Source organism: Homo sapiens, chromosome 16, assembly GCF_000001405.40.
Source record: "Homo sapiens chromosome 16, GRCh38.p14 Primary Assembly".
Taxonomy (NCBI): Eukaryota; Metazoa; Chordata; class Mammalia; order Primates; family Hominidae; genus Homo; species Homo sapiens.
Genome location: NC_000016.10, coordinates 14,087,552 through 14,112,542, shown reverse-complemented (window position 1 = coordinate 14,112,542; position 24,991 = coordinate 14,087,552). Strand labels below are relative to the sequence as shown.

At 38.8% G+C, this 24,991-nt stretch overlaps 1 protein-coding gene across 29 annotated transcripts in view; it reads right to left on the bottom strand.

Moving 5' to 3' along the window:
* MRTFB (myocardin related transcription factor B) overlaps positions 1–24,991 on the bottom strand; it is a 272,006-nt gene that overhangs the window by 154,237 nt on the left and 92,778 nt on the right. For 11 of the 29 annotated variants that reach the window (XM_047434393.1, XM_047434392.1, XM_047434391.1 and 8 more), the window contains one exon: positions 19,661–19,822. The exons of the other annotated variants lie outside the window; for them this stretch is intronic. The gene's annotated coding sequence lies outside the window, so the exon portion shown is untranslated. The remainder of the gene's footprint in view (positions 1–19,660; positions 19,823–24,991) is intronic. 29 annotated transcript variants of the gene reach the window in all.

Here is a 24,991-nt window from a genome sequence, read left to right as displayed (position 1 = left end):
CTGCTTCCTTTGCAGCCCTTTTAAGTGGTGGTGATTTTTGCCTCTCACAATCCTCCTGCTTTACTAGGCTTGGAGGCGAGCCAGCTCATCACTGTTGTTTCCAAACCACTCTTCCTGCCAGCTCTCTGGAGCCCTCAGCTTTGAATTTCCTACCTTTGAACCCCGTCATCCACTCTTCCTCAGCCACTCACCTCATGATCATTCCCTAAACCAGGAACACTCCGTGATCTCCCCAGTTTCACGCACCTACCTCTGACCACTGCCTCCTAGCTATCTCTCAAATTCTGGATCCAACAATCCGTTAATCCCACCGGGGTCTCCACACCACTGATCCTGCCACCTTTTTCCTTTCCTACCTCCCTTGATATGGGCTCTTACTCTTTCTGCTTCAGGGTCACTCATTTAAACCCCATTGTTTCTTTATACCTGTTCGGCAGAGCTTCAGCACTGATTAAATCCCACTCTGCCCCTACTCCACACTGCCCTTGAACAGTGAAGAACTGATGGGGTGGGAGGACACAAATCAGTGAAGCAATGCCCTTGAGAGATCAGGGGGGATGGTACCCAGTAAGAAGGAGCGCCCTGGACGGGAGCTCAGAGCGCCCAGCCACCGTATGGAGGGACAGCTGAGCACAAGCACACACCCAGGTGGGTGTGGCAGTGGAGTCTGCAGATGTTCTCTTCTCATTCCTTCTGTGTTTTCAGCATTTGGAAGCAAAGCCATCAATTGAGGGTGAAAGGTAGAAAGAGGCGCCAGAGGACCGAGAAAAAGGGGGAACCAGGGAGTGAACGATGAATGGACACAACACCTCTCTGAGGCTTCAGCACCTCCCTCTTCCAGGTTAGTCAGCCCCTCCCTCTTGTTTGCCTCTTCATATAGGTTAGAAGCTGGCAGTGGGTGGTAGAGGGGATAGAGCCACTTCAGCAATACCAATACCCAACTCTCAGTTTGCCCATGCAGGTCCTTGAAGCCAAGCACCAAGCACATCCAGAAAACTGAAATGAGTCCACCAAATTCACGTTAAGCAACTTCAACTGGATTCTCAATGTTTCTGAAGTTCTTTATTCACCTCTAGTGAATGTTCACCTCAATGTCCACAGCAAGTGGGGATTTTCTACCTCCTTCAGGACCCAGCACCACCCCCTCATCACTGAGCAGATGAGCTTGGCTTCTATTTTATTAAGGGCAAAGGCCACTTGATGTGAGCAAGCTTCTTAAAACTTCCTTCTCTCTGACTCAAAATCTCTGCATGTTTAACATCTACTTGTCTTTCCCTGCTGCCTCCCAAATGTTATTTTCTTCTTTCCAGGGTTAACCCCACCTCTCCCTCTACCACCTGCACCTCCAATCTGCAGAACTTTATTCAGTTATCCTATCTCTTTTTACCTCTCAATTTCTTAAATTTATAGGCTAAGGTATTTAGGGGAAAGAAACAAAGGAAGTTACAGAAGTAGGAAAAAACATGGAATGCTCATATAAACAGCAAAAAATCGGTATTGTTACACTGCAGGGTGTGTTAGAAAGAGAAAACAAAGTTAGATGGATAGGGTGGGATCAGATTACAGAGGATCTTAAAAACCACAGAGCAGGTTGATGATTTCTGAGCAAGAAAATGCTCATGATGGAAGTACTGTTTAAGGGAGACGAGATTCAGAGCATGAGATGGGACGGGACAGGATGGGAAAGGAGGGATTCACGCTGGGAATAGGGGCAAGTTTGGGGCCTTGGGGCAGAGAAAGGGTGGAAGGCAAGAGGATGATGTAGTCATCCTGACAAATATAACTAAAGCCTGGTCTCACGTGGAGCAGCGAGGAGGAGAAAGGAAAAAGACAAGACATTTCCTAGAGAAAAAATGGACAGAACCTGGTGACTGATGGCATGCTGTGGATGAGTTTCAAGCCGAAATTCCAGGAGAGGGTGGTGTGGCTGCTGCAAAATGGAAGGCATGGCACTGTACTGGTAGAGAGCCTGGAATCACAGCACTTTGAAGCTTAAAGGGGCCAGGACCTCTGAGGTTATGGGATTCAGCTCCCCCAGTTTATAAATGAGGAAGTGGAGGCCCAAAGACATGAAGAGATTTGTCTAATGTCACAAAACTAGTTGCTGACAAAGCTGGCACTAGAACCCTACCTCCCTGACTGCCTTCAGAGCTCCTTCACTACTCCACCGCCTCTTATAGGATCCATTCTCAGTTTCCTATTTGCCCACCCTGACCCAAGGCCTAAACTCGCACTGTCAAAAACTCTACCAGGGAACCAGCCATGTGGTTTTGGCCTCTGCACATATCTGGTCCAGGAGGATTAGCTCTCAGCCACCAGGGCTTCAAGGCTGCTGGTCTGGCTTTACCCCAGGACTTTCCTGAAGATAAGCTTGCCTTGCCCCTTCATAGGGAGCCCAGCTCAGACTTTGAGACTTCTCCAGACACTGTTTTGATGTTTCTAGTAAGTCCATATTTCAAGGTAGTAGAGTAAATAAGACACAAGCTCTACTCTAAGGATCATTAAAATGATTTTGAGATTAAAGGGCAAACCATATTGACCCTTATGGTTTCCTTTTTCCTCTCCTTTTCTGACTCAGGAACAGAATTTAAGATGCTGTTTGGCTGATTTGTGATGAAAATCTTGAGCCATGTGTATGGTTCCCTGGCAAACACTGGAATTTGTATTTGATATTCTTTATACTGTCAGCTCATAGTACTCTACTGACAACAAGAAGTACTCTATAATTTTTAGCAGGGCCTCTACATTTCTTTACAGGCAACATTCATGAATAAAACAGGAGTTTCTAGATAATTTCCTACTGACTTCAGAACTTTGAAAGAAGTTTACAAAAACATAGCTTCCACGGTTCTTATGGTAACCAGGGACAATTACTTATACTAAATAAAAATGGACAACTTGGTGATCTCATCTTCTCCATCGGTGTCAACAAGGACTTTAACAAGGTACCACGGACTTTGGCAAGCTGTCCATATTAAAATAGCTATTTAGAGTGGACAGTACTGAACTATTTGAACGTATTAAGTACCAGTATCTGCAGTGATGACAATTCTGCAATTAAAATGTACCCAATTCAGGTATCAAACCTCACCTTTTGGTTTATGTTTTCTTCTTGATATCCTCATACTATTCATTTTGAAATTAAATTTTTTTTTTAACCACACACTTCAAGCATCTCAGAAACTTAAACTGAGTACATCCGTTTGCTTAGTGGCTTCGAGACATTCTCTTTTGTGACTAAGTGGCAGGTGCTGTTCAGTTTATTTTTATGCGTGTAAACTAAGCCCTTGAACTTAGAGTGAGGAAAAGCATTCAGCTTAAACTTTAGAAAGGAAGGAACTACACAACAGCTTCCTTGGGAACAGCCTGCTTTTTCAGCTTCCTGTATAAAAATAATACCATATTTTTATAGAAATTGCTAAGAAACAATGAAGAAATTATATTTAAGCCTTTGGACAGGTAAGCCTTAAATCCTTTAAAGATCAATTTCTTCTAATAATTTTGCTACTTAAATCAAGCCAGGAATAGAAAAAATGACAAATAAAATAGAAATGGGTACAAAGTTTAAAATGGATTATACAATTTTCGAATTACTACAGAGGGGTGCACATATGCTTCCAGTAAATAACAGACATTAACACTTCTGGCCTTAAAAGTCCCAAATATCAAGCTACTGTATTCGGCAGGGGAGACGATGGGGGAAAGGTTTTCTTTGTTGGTGAAGTTGCTGCTATCATCATGAAATCATTTTGATTAAAACATATGAACACACACATAATAAGTTCACCAATAACTACAGCTTTTCAGAATGTAACTCTAATAATTATTTTCTATTCTGAGAAATAACTGAGTATTCTCTTTAAAAATAAAAATAAAATGCATCCAGAATCTCCAATCCAAGGGGAGAGAGAAGTAACCTCCTGGGGTAGGAGTCTTAAATGTTACTTTCCAAATTTCTACAAAGTGGCCAAGTTCCCCCGCAGTTAGCTTACTTGACCATCTCTCACATATTGACTTTAACAGCTAACATGTACACAGCCAGACAGATGATTATGTTGTCCATTGGCTCTAAATTCTCTCCCTGCATAATTCAGTATGTTACCACTATGCATTTAGAAATGTTCTATCAAGGGTTGTTAAATGAACTTAAGCTTATGATGAAACTCAACCTCATGTCCTCACAGTGTTCTTTCCTGAACGCTAGAAGTTCATCTTATTCAAATATTCAAGATTCACATGTGGTAGAGGACTCCATATATACTTGTTCTGTCTAAGAAAGAGCAATAGAGACATGCAAAACTGTAAATAATTCCATTTCCTGAATGTTCTTTAACCCACCCCAATACTACTCCTTCACAGCATCTAGCATCGGGCCCAGCAGTTCTTTCAGATCCAGGGCTCCCAGAAGCATGTGACCCTGGTCTAAAGACTGAAGCCAGGTAGAAATTATTAGCTCAATTTACTCTAAGCACCAACCCTGGAAGAACCACAGTCCACTGCTGTGGCCTGGACCCACTGCAGAAAAGGGGTCCCTGGTAGAGACGCAGTGATAGGAATAGAAGGCAGGGGTGGCCAATATCTGAAACGAAAGTTCAGGTCTCCCTGTCCTTACCTGGGACTAGACACTTGGAGAAGACGATAAAGTGGTGTTAGACCAAAGGCAGGCATGTCTTCTACAGATCCCAACAACACCTACTGTGCCCTCTTCCTTGGTGTACCTCACACTGGGTATGCTGACCCTGTATCCTCCTCTCCAGCAACTGTTCCCCATGTGCATTACATTTATCTGTTTATCTTTATCTTTCCATCTGTCCATAAGCCTAAAGCTCACGGAGGTGGAGGAGCTCATCTTTTCACCTATGCATCTATCCCTAGTTTCTAACACAGTAGCTGGCACAGGGCAGTCATGCAGAATTGGTTCTTGAACTATTTGTTGGAGAGTGTCCTAGAGACCAAAATGAAGTCTGTCATCTAGTACATTCACCCCTCTTCCCCAACTGTGCTCACCATTTATTCTATGCCTAGTGTTCTTAAACCTTGTATCTGGTCCAAAACTATTGTCTGGAAATAATATGATAAACCCCTTCGTGCTAAAATGAAAATGACAGATGTGTGGTTGGCTACTCCTGGTGGTCCTGCAAAATGATGGAATTTCAATTCCATGGGAGAGAGATTCTAGGCGTGAATGGGAGAGAGATTCTAGGCGTGAGCCCCAGAATCACACCACAGAGGCAACTGCTTCTCTCTTACGGCCAGCAGGTCCACCACACAGAAAAGACTTTTTCCTCCGTTTTTGTTTTTTTGTTTGAGACAGAGTCTTGCTCTGTCACCCAGGATGGAGTGCAGTGGCACGGTCTCGGCTCACTGTAATCTCCACCTCTCAGGTTCAAGTGATTCTGCTGCTTCAGCCGCACGAGTAGCTGAGATTACTGGCATGTGCCACCATACCCAGCTAAGCTCTTTTCTATTAAATTTTTTTTCTGAGTTTTCAACTCTTTTGGTTTTAACTGCCATTTCTATGTTCTGTTTCTCTCTGGTAACCTACGCCTAGACCTCCTGGAAAACAGTAAATGGGCCACACAAGCAATACTACTACTGTGATATACTGAAAACCTGTATGCAGCCATTTAGCACACTTGAACATACAATTTTACTCTTATTTTCTATTTGTCCATTTTCATTCTCAACTAAGTTGGAAGCTGCCTAGGGATAGGAGCGATGTATAATTCCCCTCACTGAGTCCCAGCCCAATGCTGACCTCATACTAGGTATTCAATAGGGTACTACAAACAAGATTTGTCATCCAGCAAGCATGGGAAATGTTTTAAAAACATGATACCCTCACTCTTACAAAAGCCTTCAAAATTACCAGAAGATAATATTGTTACTGCCAAAAAGCAATTCATGTTTACTTAGAGCTTACTAAATGTCAAACTTTGAGCTCTACCCTTTACAGAGAGTCTCCCATTTAATCCTCACAGCAACCCCATGAGGTTTGGAGAGGCTAAATAACTCACTCACATAGTTACAGTCAAGTGGCGTAGCTGATTCAGTCTACACTCGATCAGCCCATGAATTCAAAAATTTAAGATCCCCCAAATATTTCTTAACAGTATAGGTAAGAAGTATAGTGATTTGAAAGAACTGATTTAAAGTAACTCCTCACCTCTCAGCCCTTACCTATGCAGTTTCCCTTGTAGGAACACCACCTTCGTCCCACCTCTCTACTGGCAAATTGCTACACATCCTTAAAGTCACGGCAAGCACTCCCCAACTCCCCTCAGCAGCACTCCCACTGCACCTGGCACTCACTGCCATTCTATCTACCTCCTGCTCTAGTCCATGTGTCTGTTTATTATTTACCAGGAGAATCTGAGCTCCATGGGGTTGAGAACCTTGCCTTTTCACCTCCATTCCCAGGTTTCTAGCACAGTACCTACCACACACACAAGTGTACAGTAAATATCTGTTCTTGAAATCATTATTGTGGTAGCATTAAGAGACTTAGTTTGCAACATCTATCTTTCACAGCAGATCTGTATCACAATCTACACCATAACTTTCAACAATTCATATTTGTTTCCATAGCAACTAGGGAAAGTGCTCCTTATAATACTAGGAAAGGCAAGCTCTACCTTAAGGTTCAACCCACTGAAATACTTCACAATCACTTGCTTTTTGTTCTTAGTGTGAAGAGACAGAATGACAGCATTTTAACTTTACGTCTTTAAGAACACCTTAACTTTAATAATGACAGTAAAGCTTATTTTTTCATAAGTACTAGAGTTTTCATTGACAAAAGGACAGCATCTTATTAATTCACAAATCTAAAATACCCTTAAGAGTCCAGGTGCTGTGGCTCACACCTGTAATCCCAGCACTTTGGGAGGCTGAGGTGAGAGGATCACTTAAGGCCAGGAGTTTGAGACCAGCCTGGGCAACACAGTGAGACCCTATCTTTACAAAAAATTTTAAAAATTAGCTGGGTACGGTAGCACGTGCCTATAGTTCCAGCTACTCGGGAGGCTGAGGCAGGAGGATTACTTGAGCACAGGAGTTTAAGGCTGCAGTGAGCCATGGTTATGCCACCGCACTGATGCCTGGGCAACAGAGCGAGACCCTGTCTCAAAAAAAAAAAAATCATAAGAGAAGGATACATCTAATCAGGGCATAGCTATACAAAGTGCAACTTTTCTTTTTTTAAAGTAAACATCATTCCTTTCTGATGACCTTTTATAAAAGATGTCATCAACAATTTAGGAAAGAGACAAAGGAGAAACTTCTCTGGTCTAATTTAAAAGACAGCAATGAGGTACAAGGGGTAGTATGAGAACTTCCCAAGGCCTCTATCAGCTCAGTTATTTTCACTCAAAGGAAAGAAATAATGGGTTCCATTTTTCATTCTTAATTAGAATGCTCACTTTCTGAGAGTTTACTGACTTCTATAACACTAAATTTTCCATTAGTTCTGGGCATCAGTTCACTTACTTTTTTTTAAACAGATGGCCTCGTACTTTCATCCACTCCCTCCACTCCTAATTATCAGACCAAGAAAGGGGCACTGATGGCATCCTGACAGCCCTAAGTTCTAACAAGGATAACGAAGCAGAAATGTCAATACGCTTCAGTGCCATGTGTCCTCTAACTACTCAGCTACAATGTCTTCAACATGGCAGGCCAACAAAATGTAGATATGATCAATCAAACATCCGAATTGGGAGGGCTATCCAATGAATGGAATAGCTATTCCGTGAAAATGGACTGCGGTGCCTACATCCCTGCATTAAGTAAATCCTAAAGGAAAAGATTTCATATAAAATTTACTGAGGTTCTCATGCTTATGTTTTAAAAACCTTTCTCACAACTTACTGCTGGAAATAACTGCATATAAACGAAAACAATTCTCATTTTTTTGTTTGGATTCCTTATGACAAATGGGGTACTTTTTGTTTATAAAGCGAAACCCCAACACTTTGAATAATGAAGCCTTCAAATAGTACTGAGATTTATTGATACATCTGAAAGCTAAGGCTCTGCTACAGGAAGAGACTCACAGAACTGCACCATGTCATCCTGCCTGAGTGTAAAATGTACAGGCATCAGTCTACTGGATAAGCTTCCTTGTAAAGTCTACTTGCTCACCAGTGCTTCTGCTGCTGTGGAGAACATGAATTTCAGGAGTAAATGAGACCATGTCATGTTGCTCCCTGATGTCTCTATCAGAAACCCTTAGAAATGGTGAAAAGGTAATGAAAGAGAAAGTGCTCATTCTATGCTCAGCCCAGACAGTCACACCTTTAGGGGTCCTTCCTATCTGAATAAATACACAGTGTTCAGTCTTTCTGGCTAAATTTCAGTTCAGGGCCTGGCCTCATACCTAAACACACCCTCCACTCTATAACATGTCAAAATTCATTTGTAATTTTTATAAGTTTTTTCACTCTGGTTAAGAGCACCCTCTGAAAAGAAACTGTCATCTATGAAGTAGGGAGATTATACTTCAGTACAAATGTCACTTTATCATGTCATTTCATTATTTTTTTCCTCAATCCCAGCCAATACTAAATCATGGTTTCTATGTCTCAGCAGCCAGAAACCAGGCAGAGTTTCTCCCACAGGGAAGTTACAAATTCATCTGACTGCAGAGAGCTTAAATTCTTAATATTTCTCTACAGTAAAGATAGAGAAACAGAGGCCAGTTGCCTCTTTAAAACTGCTACTCTTTCAATTTCAATAATTTCTATTTCAACACCTAATTTATGCCAATCCTTGGCTGGACTGACTTGGACGAAGGCATTAGAAGCAGACTATATTTGTAGCAAACTGGGCTAATTTATGCCAATCCTTGGCTGGACTGACTTTGACGAAGGCATTAGAAGCAGACTATATTTGTAGCAAACTGGCCAATGTGTATAACTGCAGTGTGTAGTACACTGCAGCAGGATTCCATTTCTCCTGATTTCAGCAATGGAAACAGGAATCCATGGGTGTATTCCAGGGTCCCATAAAGTCCCTGAATCTAATCAGCACTGAGTAAAGGCACAAGGGCTGTCAAGGGCACTAAGGAAATCCCTGAACTCATTCTTACAGCTCAGACATTTCCTTAGTGAAAAAACAAACAAACACCCTCCCCCATATCCCCCCTCCAAATATGGAAGAAGAAATACCCTTGTTAGGATAAATTGTATATTCTCATCACTCTCTGAACTTTATTCGCTGAACTCAAGGCTTCCTATTCAATAAAATTTCCCTGAGCACCTTTGATCAGGAGTTTTGCTGGGTGCTGGGATATGGAGATGAGTAAGATCTATTCCCTGACTTTAAGGTAAGTAAGGAAGCCAGACAAGAAAACAGACATCACAACATAGTGTGGTAAAGAATATTAGATGAGAGCAAAGTGCTGTGAAAGCAAGGAGGTGTGCAGAGGGAGGGGTTTTAACACAACTGGCCAAGGATCAGCAAAGGGATCCCAGAGGAAGTAAGTGCTGGAGCTGAGTCTCAAAGAATAAGATTGTAAAGTAGAGGCAGATGTGGAAGAAAGAGAGGGCACTCCTGGCAAAGGGAGCTGATATACAAATGGTCTCTCTACTCCAAGACTTTGTATCACTCAACATGCTCTACTTCACCTTCTCCTTTCACCTTAAAGCTAATGCAACAGCATGCCCCCAGATAGAGAAAACTGCACATTCTAAAGTACCTACCATGAAAGGGAAAAAGGCAGACACACATACTATGTGAATATTATTAAACTCCAAGGCATGTAACAAGAGAAATAATACCATGTTTTAACATACTGCATTGTTTGCTGGACACAGAAAGTTTGAGAACAAATGAAACTAAAGAGCCAATCTTTAACACTGAAGAGCTAACAGTTTTTAAAGCAAGTATAAACACATGGAAATTCAGTTGCATTTGTTTAATTAGAATAAATAATATCTGTAAGTCTAAACGTAGATGTGGTGGGTGAGTTGAATTTACTCTAGAAAACACAAAAACTCTAAAGTAAATATCTTCTTATCTGTATATGACCCTTAATTATTTTCTTGAGTCCTTGAGAGGGGGGAAAATGGTTCCCTACCCAAAATATTAAACATGTACGAGTGATAACTCAACACATTTTGTCATTTCACCCCCAACTGGAAGAAAGGTATCATTATCATCTCCACTTTACCAATGAAGAGGCGACGTTAAGCCCGTGATTAAGAGTCAGGATTAGAACCCAGTTTCCTGACTCAAGAGTCTGGATTCTGGTTCTTGCACTGTCACAAAACTAGCTGCTTAGCCCACTTGCTGTTTTCTCCTCTACAAAATTAAGTTTTAACTTTGAAAATCAAACTATCAAAGGAGCAGCTTGCTCTTTCAACCACAATTTCTTTTTTTTTTTTTAAAAAGACTCAGGTTGCACTTTATTTTTCTTTAAAGAGAAACTAAAATAATACACACAAACCCTCTGCCCTCATGGCCATTTGAAAATAACTCCTCTATTTTTCTCCTTTTGTTTCTTCCCTACAATTGACCACCAGTCCCATTAGTGCCTCTCAGCAAACAGCTGTTATGTATTTTTCAAAATACCTAAATATAGTACCTTGATTTAAATTGGAGAGGAACTCAAACTTTCTAATAGGGACACTGAGAAGATGTTATTACATTAGGCTGGTTTCACTCCACTTATTTAAAAAATCATAGAATTCTATGCCTTTTTAATGATGAAAATCCTTTTTTAAAAAAACTCAGAACTTGTCTTAAACAAGGAATAGTTTATTGGAGAAATACCTGTTACTAAGTGACCCTAAGTTTTCAGTGGGATACTGATGTAGATCTTTATAATAATCTCACCTCACTCTACCCCCAAGTTTTCCTCCTCTTCAACAGAATCTTGTCAGCAACACTTGCCAAAACTATTACAGCTACAGTTACCATGACCACCACAAACAGTGTTAATAGAAATTGAAAGTAGATTTGTCAATCAAACCCAAAGGAACATCAGCTGTGTGCAAAATTACTCCTGGCATATTCTAACTCATTTTTCACAATACAGCAACCAAGAAGGAGATGTGTAGTCAATGTAAAATAAACTTTAAGAACTAATAATTTGGGTTTGGTCTGATAGATTTATCCATAGAATTCACCAAAATACGATACCTGAGACACCAACTTCTCCAAGGGGCTCTCCTCATGCCACTCCTCACAAGCTAAGCACTATTCTGTGTATTCCCTCTGCACCTCTACTTGCTTCTACCATAGTTATTACACTATAAGAAAAAGGACATAGGCTATATATCTTAACTTTGTGTCTTAACTTCTCTGAGCCTCAATATCTTATATGTCTTAGAGAGGAAACAGCTCAAATCAGCATCTGAAATGAACTACACTTTACCCTTAAAATCAGAAAAACTTAGCAAAAAAAAAAAAAAACCCTACATAATTATGTGTACCCACAGAGAGAGTAAGCAGAAAAGAGAAAGCAGTGAAGAAAAGAGCAGAAAAATCAATGAAACAGAAAACAAAAAAATCGAGAAAAATCAATAAACCAAAAGCTGGTTCTTTGAGAAGGTAAATAAAATTGATAAACCTCCAGTTGGACTGATCAGGAAAAAAGAGAGAAGACACAGATTACCAATATCAGGAGTGAGAGAGGCAACGTCATCATAGATTCTATGCTAATAGGGGAATATTATGAAAAACTTTAAGCCAATAAATTCAACAACTTAGATGAAATGGACAAATTCCTTGAAAGATACTACTAAACTCACTCAAGAAGAAATAAATAACCTGAATAACCACAGATCTATTTTAAAAATTGAATTTGTAGTTTAAAATCTCTCAAAGAAAACATTAGATCCAAATAGCTTCACTGGTGAATTCTAGCAGATGTTTAAGGAAAAATGTAATACCAATTCTATCTAAATTCTTTCATAAAATTGAACAGGAGAAAATCCTCCCCATCTTGTTCTATTAGGCCAGCATTAACTTGATACCAAAACCAAAGACACTAGAAGAGGCTCTTATGTCCCTCATGAGCAGAGATATAAAAATTCTAAACAAAATTTTAACAAATTAAATTCAACACATAAGAAAAGGTACATGACCAAATGGGGTTTATCCTAGGAATGTAAGGCTGGTTTACCATGCGATACACAATACAATTCACCCTATTAACGAATTAAAAAATAACAACCATATGATTATCTCAATAGATGCTCAAAAATATCTAACAAAATCCAACATCCATTCCTGATTAAAAACTCTCAGCAAACTAGGAATAGAAGAGAACATCCTCAACCTGATAAAGGAGTCCACAATAAACCTATAGCTAACATCACACTTAATAATAAGACTTAGTGTTTTCCCTTTAATATGAGGAACAAGACAAGCATGTCCACTTTTACATTTCTATTCAACATTACACAGGCTCTGCTAGAGGTTCTGCTCGTTCAATAAGGCAAGAAAAATAAGTAACAGGCACTCAGATTAGAAAGGAAGAAGTAAAACTGTCTTCGTTTAAAAATAACATGATTATGAAAATCCAATAAACTCTACAAAAAAAGCTAGTAGTGAGTATAGAAAAGATGCAGAATGGCTGGGCACAGCAGCTCACACCTGTAATCCTAGCACTTTGGGAGTCCGAGGTGGGTTCACCTGAGGTCAGGAGTTCGAGACCAGCCTGGCCAACACAGTGAAATCCCATCTCTACTAAAAATACAAAAATTAGCTGGGCGTGGTGGTGTGTGCCTGTAATCCCAGCTACCTGGGAGGCTGAGGCAGGAGAATTGCTGGAACCAAGGAGGCGGAGGCTGCAGTGAGCCGAGATCGTGCCACTGCACTCCAGCCTGGACGACACAGTGAGACTCTGTCTCAAAAAAAAAAAAAAAGAAAAGAAAAGATGCAGAATACGGCTGGGCATGGTGACTCACACTTGTAATCCTAGCATTTTGGAAGGCCGAGGTAGATAGATCACTTGACCAGTCAGGCCAACAGGGTGAAACCCTGTCTCTACAAAAAATACAAAAAAATTAGCCGGACATGGTGGTATGCACCTGTGGTTCCAGCTTCTTAGGAGGACCACTTGAGCCAAGGAGGCGGAGGTTGCAGTGAGCTGAGATTACACCACTGCACTCCAGCCTGGGTGACAGACCCTCTGTCTTAAAAAAAAAAAAAAACCCACCAAAAAAACCCACGTAATTTTATATTGAAAATTTAAAAAATACTATTTTAATAACACCAAAAAATACAAAATATTTAGAATAAATCTGACAAAAGATGTGTAAGATCTCTACTTTAAAAACACTGCCTAGAGAAATTTTAAAAAATATAAATAAATTGAGAGAAATAACATGTTCTTGGTTTGGAAGACCCAGACTTAATGTTGTTAAGAAGTCAATTCTCTCCAAACTGACTATCAATATCTCAGTCAAAAATCCCAGCAGGCTGTTTTGTATAACTTGAAAAGCTGATTCTAAACTCCAAATGGATATGCAAAGGACCCAGAATAGCTCAAACAACTTTGTAAAAAATTAAAAAGTTGGAGGACTAACACTACTAGATTTCAAGACTCATTATAAAGCTACAATAATTAAGACAGTGTGGTACTGGTGTGAAGACAAATAGATTAATGAAACAAAACAGAGGCCAAAATAGGCCCACATTTATGAACAACTGATTTTTTTATAAAGATGCAAAGGCAACTCAGTGAAGTGAGAATAGTCATTTCAACAAATGGTGCTCGAACAACTAAATAGCCATATGCAAGAAATATGAACTTTGATCTACATCTTTCACCACATGCAACAACTAAATCTAAATGGGCCATATTGCAAAATTTAAGTCAAAATGGGTCATATACCAAAGTGTAAACCCAAAACTATCAAAATTCTACAAGAAAACAAAGGAGATACCTTCTCTGACCTCAGGTTAGGTGGAGCTCCTAGTTCTAACACCAAAAACACAATGCATAAAATAAAAAATTGATAAATTGAACTTTATCAAAATTAAGAACTGCTCTTTGAAAGAATGTTAAGAGGGTGAAAAGATAAGTCATAGGCTGAGATAAAATATTGCAAATCATAAATCTGATAATCTATATCCAGAGTATACAAAGAACTCTCAAAACTCAGTAATAATAAGAAAACAAACAACCCAATAAACATATAAAAGATTTGATACTTTACCAACTATTGGCAAATAAGTACATGAAAATATGCTCAACTCCATTAGTCATTAGGAAAATGCAAATTAAAACCACGATGAGCTACTTCTACACATCTATTAGAATGAATAATGTGAAAAGACTGACCATACCAAATTCCAGACACAGAGCAACTGGAATTCTCATGTACTGCAGTTGGGAATATAAAAGGAAATGACAACTTGGAAACAGTTTGGCAGTTCTGAAAAAAAAGTTAAACAGACACCCATCCATCCTACTCCTAGGTATTTACTCAAGAGATAACAGAGTCCATACGAAGACTTGCATATAAATGTTCAGATTGATTTTATTTGTAATAGCCCAAAACTGGAAATACCCAAATGGCCATCAACAGTAAACACATCAACAACAACAACAAAAACAGTGAACAGATATACAAATTGTGGCATATCTACACAACCAACTATGTCTAAGAAGAAATGAACTATTGATGTACTCAACAACATGGACAAATCTCAAAATAATTAGGCTGACTGAAAGAAGTCAAACAAAGAAGAGTACATACAACATGATTCCACTTATACAAAACCCTCGAACAAGCAAACTAATCTACAGAGACAGAAAGCAGATCAGTGGTTGCCTGGAAACAGGGGCAAAGGAGCATGCAGGAAGGATTACAAAGCCATACAAAGAAATTTTGGGGGGTGATGGATATGTTCATCATCCTTATTGGGGTGAAAGTTTCATGGGTGTACGTGTCAGAACTGATTAAATTGTACACTTTAAATGTGCAGTTTACTGGATGCCAATTATACCTCAATAAAGCTGTTTACAAAAAGAACAGTTTACATTTTATAATATCCCATTTGAATTGTCCCTTTTTAATTAGCATACTGAAAATCTTTCACTATTGCAAACCAATTGCTGTAACTGCTTCAAATACACCTTTTCCTTTGACCTTTACTCTATATAAACACAACTACAAAAGTTAATTACTACTGGATGGGAAAGTGAACAAACCGGTCTTCCTGGATTGCACAGTGGTCTGTTTATTAGCTTCAAATGAAACCTGAATGTTTAGCTAAACTACCAGAACTGAATGCTTGGTCACTTAATACTGAAAATATTACAACCACAATCTGCCCTAAAGGGATTCATTAACTCAAACGTTTATTGCACATATACTCTATGTCTGGCATTGTTGTAAGTGCTGGATTTCATGCAGAATGGTCAGTACTGAACTGCAAGGCCACTCTGCATCTCCTCTTAGAATAATTTATAAGGTCATAATCATTGCATTTAAATAACACAACTAAAGAAAATCAGTGGAAATAGGCTACAGGTAGACTAAAACAATGATTCTTCTAATACAAAGTTAAGATAATAAATGCTAATGATGACTAAAGAACTGTAGTCCAAGTGCTTAGAATTCTAGAATGAGAGGTATGTCTTGAAACCTAAGTGAATTCAGGACAAATATAAAGAAAACTACTTCTATGTACAGCAAGAAGAATGGAGCTTGACAGCTCCAAGAGGTCCTTCTGGCTTGCAAACACCAAAGAATGTAAAAAGCTTAGGAACAGGGACCCAAAATGATTTTTTAAAAAACATACTAGGAAGTTTTAAGTAAATTATCTAAAGGTTGGTATCAAAGACAACATTCTGTACCATAGCATATTCTTTACTGTCGATTTTAGAGAATTCTATAGACCAAGTATGAAAGTGACATTTTACAGAAGATGTAAGCTTATGAACTTATCACAAATAAAACCCAAAGGTCCACATCTCTTGCCACAATATGTAGGCTATTTTACAGCTACTCGAGGGCATCCATTTGAAAACCTTTTATTATCTTTTCTCCCCTGCAATAGTACTTCTTTTTTAGACTTTTTCTCTAAAAGAATCCAATGAACTCCTACACTGGACATATAATCAATAAAAATCTCTTGTTAGAGCTAACTGCTGGTGACACGTGCTTCAGAATTCCTTAGAAATAGTTATTCCTTTTCTAAATCTCAGGTTGCCGGCCAGGCACAGTGAGTCACACCTGTAATCCAACACTTTGGGAGGCCGAAGCAGGCAGATCACTTGAGGTCAGGAGTTTGAGACCAGCTTGGCCAACATGGTAAAACCCTGTCTCTACTAGAAATACAAAAATTAGCTGGGCGTGGTGGACATGCCTGTAATCCCAGCTACCCGGAAGGCTGAGGCAGAATTACTTGAACCCAGGAGGCGGAGGTTGCAGTGGGCCAAGATCGCGCCACTGCACTGCAGCCTGGAAGACAGAGCGAGACTTGTCTCAAATAAATAAATAAATAAATAAATAAATAAATAAATAAATAAATTTCAGCTTGCCTCTAAACTGTCATGTTCTTGTTCTCAAAAGAACAACTGTACTAACCAATAAACTTTTAGTAAATTTTGCCTGACATGATTCCCTGTCACATGTTCTGAACATATCATACCCAATTTATATCTACATTAGACACTACTTGTAAGCACTGTTGTAAATAGTGCATTCAGTACAGTTTGTAAATATTCTTATTCTGATAGAGAAGCAATAATCATGAAAACAAAAGATCAAAAAACAAACCACAGTATTCAGTCATTTTACCTTCTCTTTTTTGTTTTTCAGATTTTGAAAAGTGAAGATGGTTCTGTTTTGGGTAAAATGGTAAGAAAAGTATCCAAAAGCAGAGACATTCAACAGCTGATAGTTAAAATGATGAAATTTGTCCATTTCATTTCCAGTATTTACTTTTAAAATGGTGAAATGATGCCTGATGTAGTTTGAGTTTCACTCAAGTTCAGAACAAAGGTGTGGTTCTCATGACACCTGCACTGCCAATTATTGCCCTTTCTTTTGAAGGAAGATATTGTTCCATGGCTTAACATCTATAGGCAATTTATAATGTGTACTTTATATGTAGCATCTTCATTCATCCTCAGAACAACTCTATAATGGAGCATTTTACAGGCAGGTAGAGTGTTAACAAGCTTAAGTAACTTGCCCAAGGTCACAGAGCCATTTCCCATTATTAATAGCACAGAGGGCATCTTGAATCCTCTACAAGGGAGTCTCCCAAGTCAGGCCCCAAGTGGAACCACACTTGCCTGATAATGTGGACTCATTTCACCATAAGCACTTGATGTTTAATTATTCTCAGTGTGGTTATTATTCTCTAAGTCACTGTAATCTGACTGTATGTCTTAACATGGGAGAGAAACAACACTGTGGCAGGACTGGGTATACCCAACAATTTACCTTCCATGCACTGCCTTTCAGGTAGCCTTTGCTATCATAATCTTACAAAGTCAGGCAAGTTCTCTTTGGTAAGATAAGAAGACTATTTTAGACCTACGGGGTGCCCTAACCAGCAGTGCTATTATTATTCCTGGTGATGTTTAAAGTGGCTTTATATATTTAAAATAATTCTGATAGGAAATGTCAGTGTTTATCATACAAGCAAATAATTAGCATAAAGCTGTAACAAAAAGGATAGATAGATGGGTAATTTATCCTTTGTTTCTCCAAAAAAGACTCCACATTCATTAATGACAGCATGGAACACTGGCTTTTAGAATGATGCTCCTGGAGTGCAGCGGAGCGCCAGCCCTGCTTTCCACTATTCCCTGACCAAAACCCCTATTCTACCTGTATTATATACTGCAGTTTCACGGAAAACACACTAATTAAAGAAATTTACAAACCACATAATTCCCACTCTCTTAGAATTTCTGTACGCCATTTTGCTAACTTTGAGATGCAGGGTGAAACTTAGATTTTATTAACAGGAAGAAGAACTAGGTGAATAGCTTCTGCTTTCTCTGTCCATTAAGAAAGATTATTCAATAGGGAGCATAAACAAGATTTGTCAGCTACTTAAAACTATAGAAACTACAGATGAAGCACATTAGAAATATCTCATCTGCTTACATATATATGTAAAACTTATAATCAATTATCAAATTCATTGTATCTGCTAGGCAACACTTCAGCCTAAATTCTACCCACATTTAAACAAATGCATTTTAACTGTTTTATACTTTCTACACTCAGACAAATTCTTCCCTTAATTCAACTAAATCTAGATAGAGATTATTTAATGCCCTATTATTTAATGCTCCTTTTTGAGTTATATTTATCAGTCATTAAAAAAACTGGAAATTAAATGAGTGGAAATACTGTATACCTGAAAGCAATCTTGTCATCTTACATGGTGCAACAGGAGTGAGCCGGACAAGCCCAGAGACAAACTCTGTAAGGGATTCAGGCTTCTTTCATCGGTGCCACATGTTTACCATCATCTAAAAGAGCTGCTTCCTCTCTCCCTGACATCTACACTGTAACTTTTTTCTCCACTTTGAATGACACTACCTTTGAAGACTTAATTAGCAAAGAACAAAGCTGACTACTTCTTAAAAAATAGAATCATTTCAGAAAATAGAAAAAGCTATATTATGTTAGATACATTTTTAATTCTTTTTTCCAGGAGCTGATAAGGGGTGCCTCCAGAAATTAACATTTTAAAAACTTCAGCTCTGTAACTGATTTTAGAAGTGATACAATTTGCAGGGGTCTGGGATCCTGGCACAGAAATTTTCCATGTAATTACTTAACTATGCAGAACTCAAACCCAGGATTTTGACCTCATCATTAAAATCTAAAATATACTTTCCCAGTCTTTGAGTCACTTTGGTAAAATTCAAAATATACAAAGTTTTAGTCTATTAGATATTTGTTCAAACTTTATCTGAAAGAACAAGCATTAATCTGCAATTCAAATGAAAATCTGTTTTTTTAAATGATCATAGTATCTATATACCCTAGATTAATTTAAAGAGCTGAGATGCTGTAACTCGATTTGAGTTCTTAGAAATGCTCTACTAAATTACAACTTGCTAAGATACTGACCTGCATTCAGAGCCAAATTTAATGAAAGTTCTTTAGTGAAAAATTAAGTAAATAAATAAAAATGGCTCACATCTGTACTGCAAATTTAAAAAAAGGAATCTAGGCAATATGCAAAAACACAAAATATATGCAGTTTACTATAATATCTTGTCATATGGAAGGGTGGCAGGACAAGAGTGCTTGGCCTATAAAAGTAATACAATTGTATTTATGCTTTAATTTGTAAAAAAAAAAAAAATCCATCTCTCAAGTATGAATATCACTCTTTATATAAATACAACTGTGCTTTTCTAATATTTACATAATAAAAATTATAGCATATCCAAGCTACCAATGGTTTGGTTTTCCTGACTACAGAGGGAAGACAGAGTTGGAAGCACACTGACTTCAAAAATTAAAGGGTAAAAAAACCAAAGTCAAATTCCATGTCTAGCCTAGTGTTCCAATAGTCATTAAGAGAGAGGAATCAGGAGTCAGATTTCAAGATGCCAAGATATGAAGTCTATAATTCATTTTATTTTTATATAAAAGATGAAACTAAGTTAACATCTGCTATTTAGACTACAAAATTTAAGTCTGGATGTAAGCTGAATTCTTACTTTTAAGGTGAACTTCCAGTCCTTTCCATTCACAAATAGGACTTGATTTATTAAGTTTCCTGCTTTGTATCTCCACAGTTGATCAAAGCACATTTTCTTAGTACAATCTGTATTGTTCCAAGTGTTTTATAAACATCTCTTGTGAGAGTTTACAGGAGTGATCTGAAATCATATCCAAAGTTTCATCCCATGAGTCAGTTATTCTTAAAAAGGAAATAGAATCTGTCTTTATCACCTTTATTTTCCTATCTATCACAAGTCTAATCATAATCTGTAACAAAATTTTAAAAAAATCATTGGCAGGACTGTCAGCAGATAATTACTGGCATTAAAAACTAAACAGGACAAAAAAGGAAAGAAAAGGCACAATTTCATTACCTGGACATAAAAATCACAGGTCTAGACAACATCTGAAGTTTTATAAAGGTCCCTTCCCCAATAACTTTCAAGAGTTGTCAACCATCTAGCCCTACACAGATAACTCCTAAATCTGTTTCCCACCCTTACCTGAGATCCAATCAAACAATCTAACTACCTACTGCACATGGTCACCTGCATTCATTCATTCGTACATAGATATATACTGTACACCCACTATGCGCCAAGTACAGTATGCTGGGATCTGGAGAATCGCAGCAAAAAAAAATAGTCCCTGTCCTCTCAGGGTTTCTAATAGTGAAGGAAGCCAAGTCAACCAAATAATCACAAAACTATGTAACACAGACACAATTTCTGAGTAGTGTGGTACTAAGCTGATCTAAACTTTGCTCATTGTACTTGGCTTGCATATCCCTGAACCTTTTTATTGGACAGAAGTGGTGCCATCATAGGTTACCAAAGCCACTAACTTGGGAGGCATTCTTTTTTTTTTTTTTTTTTTTTTTTTTTGAGATGAAGTCTCGCTCTGTTGCCCAGGCTGGAGGGCAGTGGCATGATCTCGGCTCACTGCAACCTCCGCCTCCCGGGTTCAAGCAATTCTTCTGCCTCAGCCCCCTGAGTAGCTGGGATTACAGGCAGCTGCCACCATGCCTGGCTAATTTTTGTATTTTTAGTAGAGACGGGGTTTTACCATGTTGGTTAGGCTGGTCTCAAACTCCTGACCTCAAGTGATCTGCCCGCCTCGGCCTCCCAAAGTGCTGGGATTACAGGTGTGAGCCACCACGCCCGGCTTTGGGAGGCATTCTTGACCTTTCCCTTATTCTCAGATCGTTTCGATCTCTGGGTCCAACCCATATGCCTAGAGTGGACGTGCACAGATGGCTCTGCCAGAACAACCCTTCTCCACTTCTTCCAGGAACTCTCAGTGTGATGGTGATAGAGAGCTTCCAACAAAGACCCCAGTGCCTGGCCGGGGAGCACAAACTCCCAAGGCCAAGAGTGCCCCTGGGATTTTAAAACCAAAGCTGGGAGGGAAAAGCTGTTTCCTTCCTCTTGGTTGGTGACTGTGAAGATGGCTCCTGCCCTGTGATGATGTACCACTTCTAATCCCTGAGGTCCCTGAAATTGTGCTGGTTTCTGCAGCATTTCATTCCTTTTGCAACCTTCTCTAGGAATCTTCCAATTAGCTCCCCTTTTAACTTAAGATAGTTTGAGTGAGGTTTCTGTTAACTTGCAGCCAAGAGTCCTGACTAGTACCTCCTAAACATTTCCAGCCTCTGTCTTCTACAACTCTACCACCAGTGCCCTAGTTCAGGTCCTCATCAACTGTCACCTGGACTCGTGTAACAGCCTAATGGGTTGCCTGTCTCTAGACCTGCCCCTTGCATCCAGCATCCATGGTATAGTAACTAGAGTGATCCAATCACCTCCCCGCTGCTGGACTCTTCAGTGACTCCCCATCACTAAGGGCAAAATCTAAATTCCTTAATGGGACACACCCAACTGTCTATAATCAGTCTTCCTCTCCAGCCAAGCAACTGTCACTCCTTGCCTCCTATTTTATGCTGTGACTATACAGAACTACACACACACACACACACACACACACACACACACACACACACCATGCTGAACTGATTTTGAAAACCTGAAAAAATTAAAGTGGTTTTCTTTGGGCTCACTTTTAGGCATCAGAGTCGTCACACCTCTATCTACATTTTATTATATCAATAATCCTAGATAGGCTGTTGTGAGATATCTGGTGCTAGTGTACTTGGCATACATGGCAGGAAGTAACCAGAAGAGAGACTCACAGACTATAACAAAAAGTTCTGATCACCCACCCATCTTTGCAGACTGAGCACCAGCACCAACTCTTCTATAAAGTATTCTCACCCGAAAGAGGAGACTGCTCCCTTCCCCCTCCTGGCACCACCACAGTCCTCTGTGGAAGCTTCTAGCATGGCATGTGAGCTCCTGTTCCTTAAAGATAGGGCCACATCCCACTCACCTCTGGATCCCCAAGCCCTGCAAAGTGCTCAGTATGTATTAGACACATAAATGCTCATGGGATGATGCGTGCATTTTAAGCGACGCAGAACAATGAAAGACATCTTTCTGATTTAAAAAACAAAAAAGCACATTGGGTGTAAGGTTAGGAGATTTGGTTTTCTCACATTGAATGAGCTGAGAATACCTGAAAACACAAAAGATGTTTAATACCTCTTACTCATTGTATAGTTAATAAACTAATTTTGTACAAATTTTTTAAATGGGAGATGTCTAGAAATAAAGAAAATTTCCAACAGAGAGAGAATGGCACAAGCAACCAAAACAAATTGGAAAACTGGACTTCATCAAAATTAAAACACCACTTGCTTCAGAGAACAACATGAAGAAAGTGAAAAGACAATCACAAAATGGGAGAGAAAATCTTACAATTCATATATCTGATAAGGGTGGGGGTGTTTGGGGGTGTGTGTGTATACAAAATATATAAAGAACTATCACCACTCAATAAAAAGACAGTCCATTTTAAAAATGGGCAAATAATTTGAGTAGGTATTTCTCTAAGATATACAAGTGGCCAAGAAGCACATGAAAAGATGTTCAATATCATTAGTGATTAGGGAAATGCAAATCAAAATCATGAGACACCACTTCACATTCATTAGGATGGCTACTACGAAAAACACAATCATGGAAAAGTGTTGCCAAGGACTTGGAGAAATTGGAACCCTCAAATGTTGCTGAGAACAAAAAAGGTGCACCTTCACACAAAAGCACTTTGGAAAACAGTTGGGCATTTCCTCAAAAAGTTAAATACAGAGTTACCATATAACCCAGCAATTCCACTCCTAGGTGTATACCCAAAAGAAATGAAAACCTGTGTCCACTAGAAAATTTATATGCAAATGTTCACAGCAGTATGATTCATAATAACCAAAAAGTGGAAACCACCACAATGTCCATCAACTGATGAAGAAATAAGCAAAATGTAGTATTATCCACACAACAGAATACTACTCAGCAATAAAAAGGAATGAAGTTCTGATACATGCTGCAACATAGAAAAAAGCCAGACACAAAAGGTCACATATTTTTATGATTCCATTTACATGGCATGTCCAGAACAGGTAAATCCAAAGAGATAGAAAGTAGATGAGTGGCTTCTAGAGGTGAGAGAGACAGAGGGGAGAATGGAGAGTGGGTATGAGATTTCTTTTTGGGGTGATGAAAGTGTCCTGGAATTAGTCAGAAGTGATGGGTGTACAACTCTGTGAGAATACTAAAAATCATTGAGTTCTACACTTTAAAAGGGTAAACTTTATGGTATATGAATTATATCTCAATAAAGCTGTTATTATTTAAAATGGTCAAAGTCATATAGCAACACCTCCGTGCAGAGGCCTGGTTGAATCACTCTGCTTGCTACAAGATAACCTGTTGTAAAAACACACAATCTGTTCAAATGAGGAAATAATTTATTTTCCTACCAATAAATCCCTACAGTGACCAACCATAAAACCAAATCCAAAATAAAAAAGAGGAAAGAACAAAAAAGCACGCAATTTGCAATTTGCTGGCAGGTACAGAATGGAATTAACCAAAGACTGCACAAAGAAAAATGGTTATCAGAACTGCTTCTCTTTGATTACACAGATTTAATAAGTCAAAGTCCTTTTTCCTCACGAAAAAATGTGCCAGCTTCTTTATTAGCACAGAGCAAGGAAAAACAAGCATTCTCTTCTATAACCAAATTAACATCCCGCAGAAGGTCTGTTTGTACTTGGCAGTCATGAACCTTTCATCTCAGAGTGCTGCTAAATTAAACAAGTCTCTGCTGTATTGAACATGATGAGCCAGACACCCTGGCAGGCTCCTTGGCTTCATGAGTTGATGATGAAGAGCATTAGAAATAGAGGATGGTGAAAATAATGCTGGGGGTGCTCATAAAGTAGCGTTATCTTCATTCTGTTCAGCATTTCCATGGTCTACAATGTCAACATTCTAAGAACTTTCGAGCATTCTAACACCACCTTTCCCTGTCCGAGGGAAGAAAGCATGGATTTTGGAGCCAGAGAGATCCGTATTCAAGTCACAGTTTTGTTTTGTTTTTAACCTACTAGCTGCATGCCCAAGTCCTGATTTCACAATCTCATTGAGCCCTTCTGCTCTTTAAAACTGGGGTAATTACATCTATCCTCACAGAACTGTTGTGAAAACAAAATGAGGTAATGCACACAAAAGACATTGCACAAGGCTCAATGTACATTCCCACCATAAAATTCCGCACTGCTCTCAACTCTTCAAAGAACACACTCATTTGAGAGTTTATATCACAGTATAAGTAACAGTCACCGGCCATCCTTCTTCTATCCAAGGACATCTAATCAATCAAAAGATCCTACAAAGATTTCGTATTACATAAATTATTCCCCTCCATCCATTTCCACCTCCCAAAGACCTGAAGGTAACAAAGCCATGAATTAAGTCTTTTAAATATATTAAATCAGGGCATGGCACAAAGCATTCATTCACCTAAGAGGTATTTAAAAGCACTGAACTGAGAGACACACCAAGAGAAACACTTACTATTAGAGGGAAATGCATATTTTGCAGTGCAATAATTGGCAACCTTTCCATAAAGATTGATGCAATCTGATTGTAATTCCCAAGTGTCAGTAATCAGTTCTTAAGGTAAAAGAAAAAGGAAGTGGGATGGTTTCAAGTACTCCAGAAAAGATGTAGGAGGATATCCTTTCACACTGACAGCAATTAATGTTTGAGTGATAGCTGCTAGAACAATCAGACTGAAGAACTTTGTTACATTAGAGCAGACTGAAGTATATTTAAAATAAAACTTACTGAGTTTAACATACACAAACACTTAATCTTCACCTTGAACTAGGCGTCCTCTCTGAGCAAACTGAAGAAGGAAAAGCTTGCATG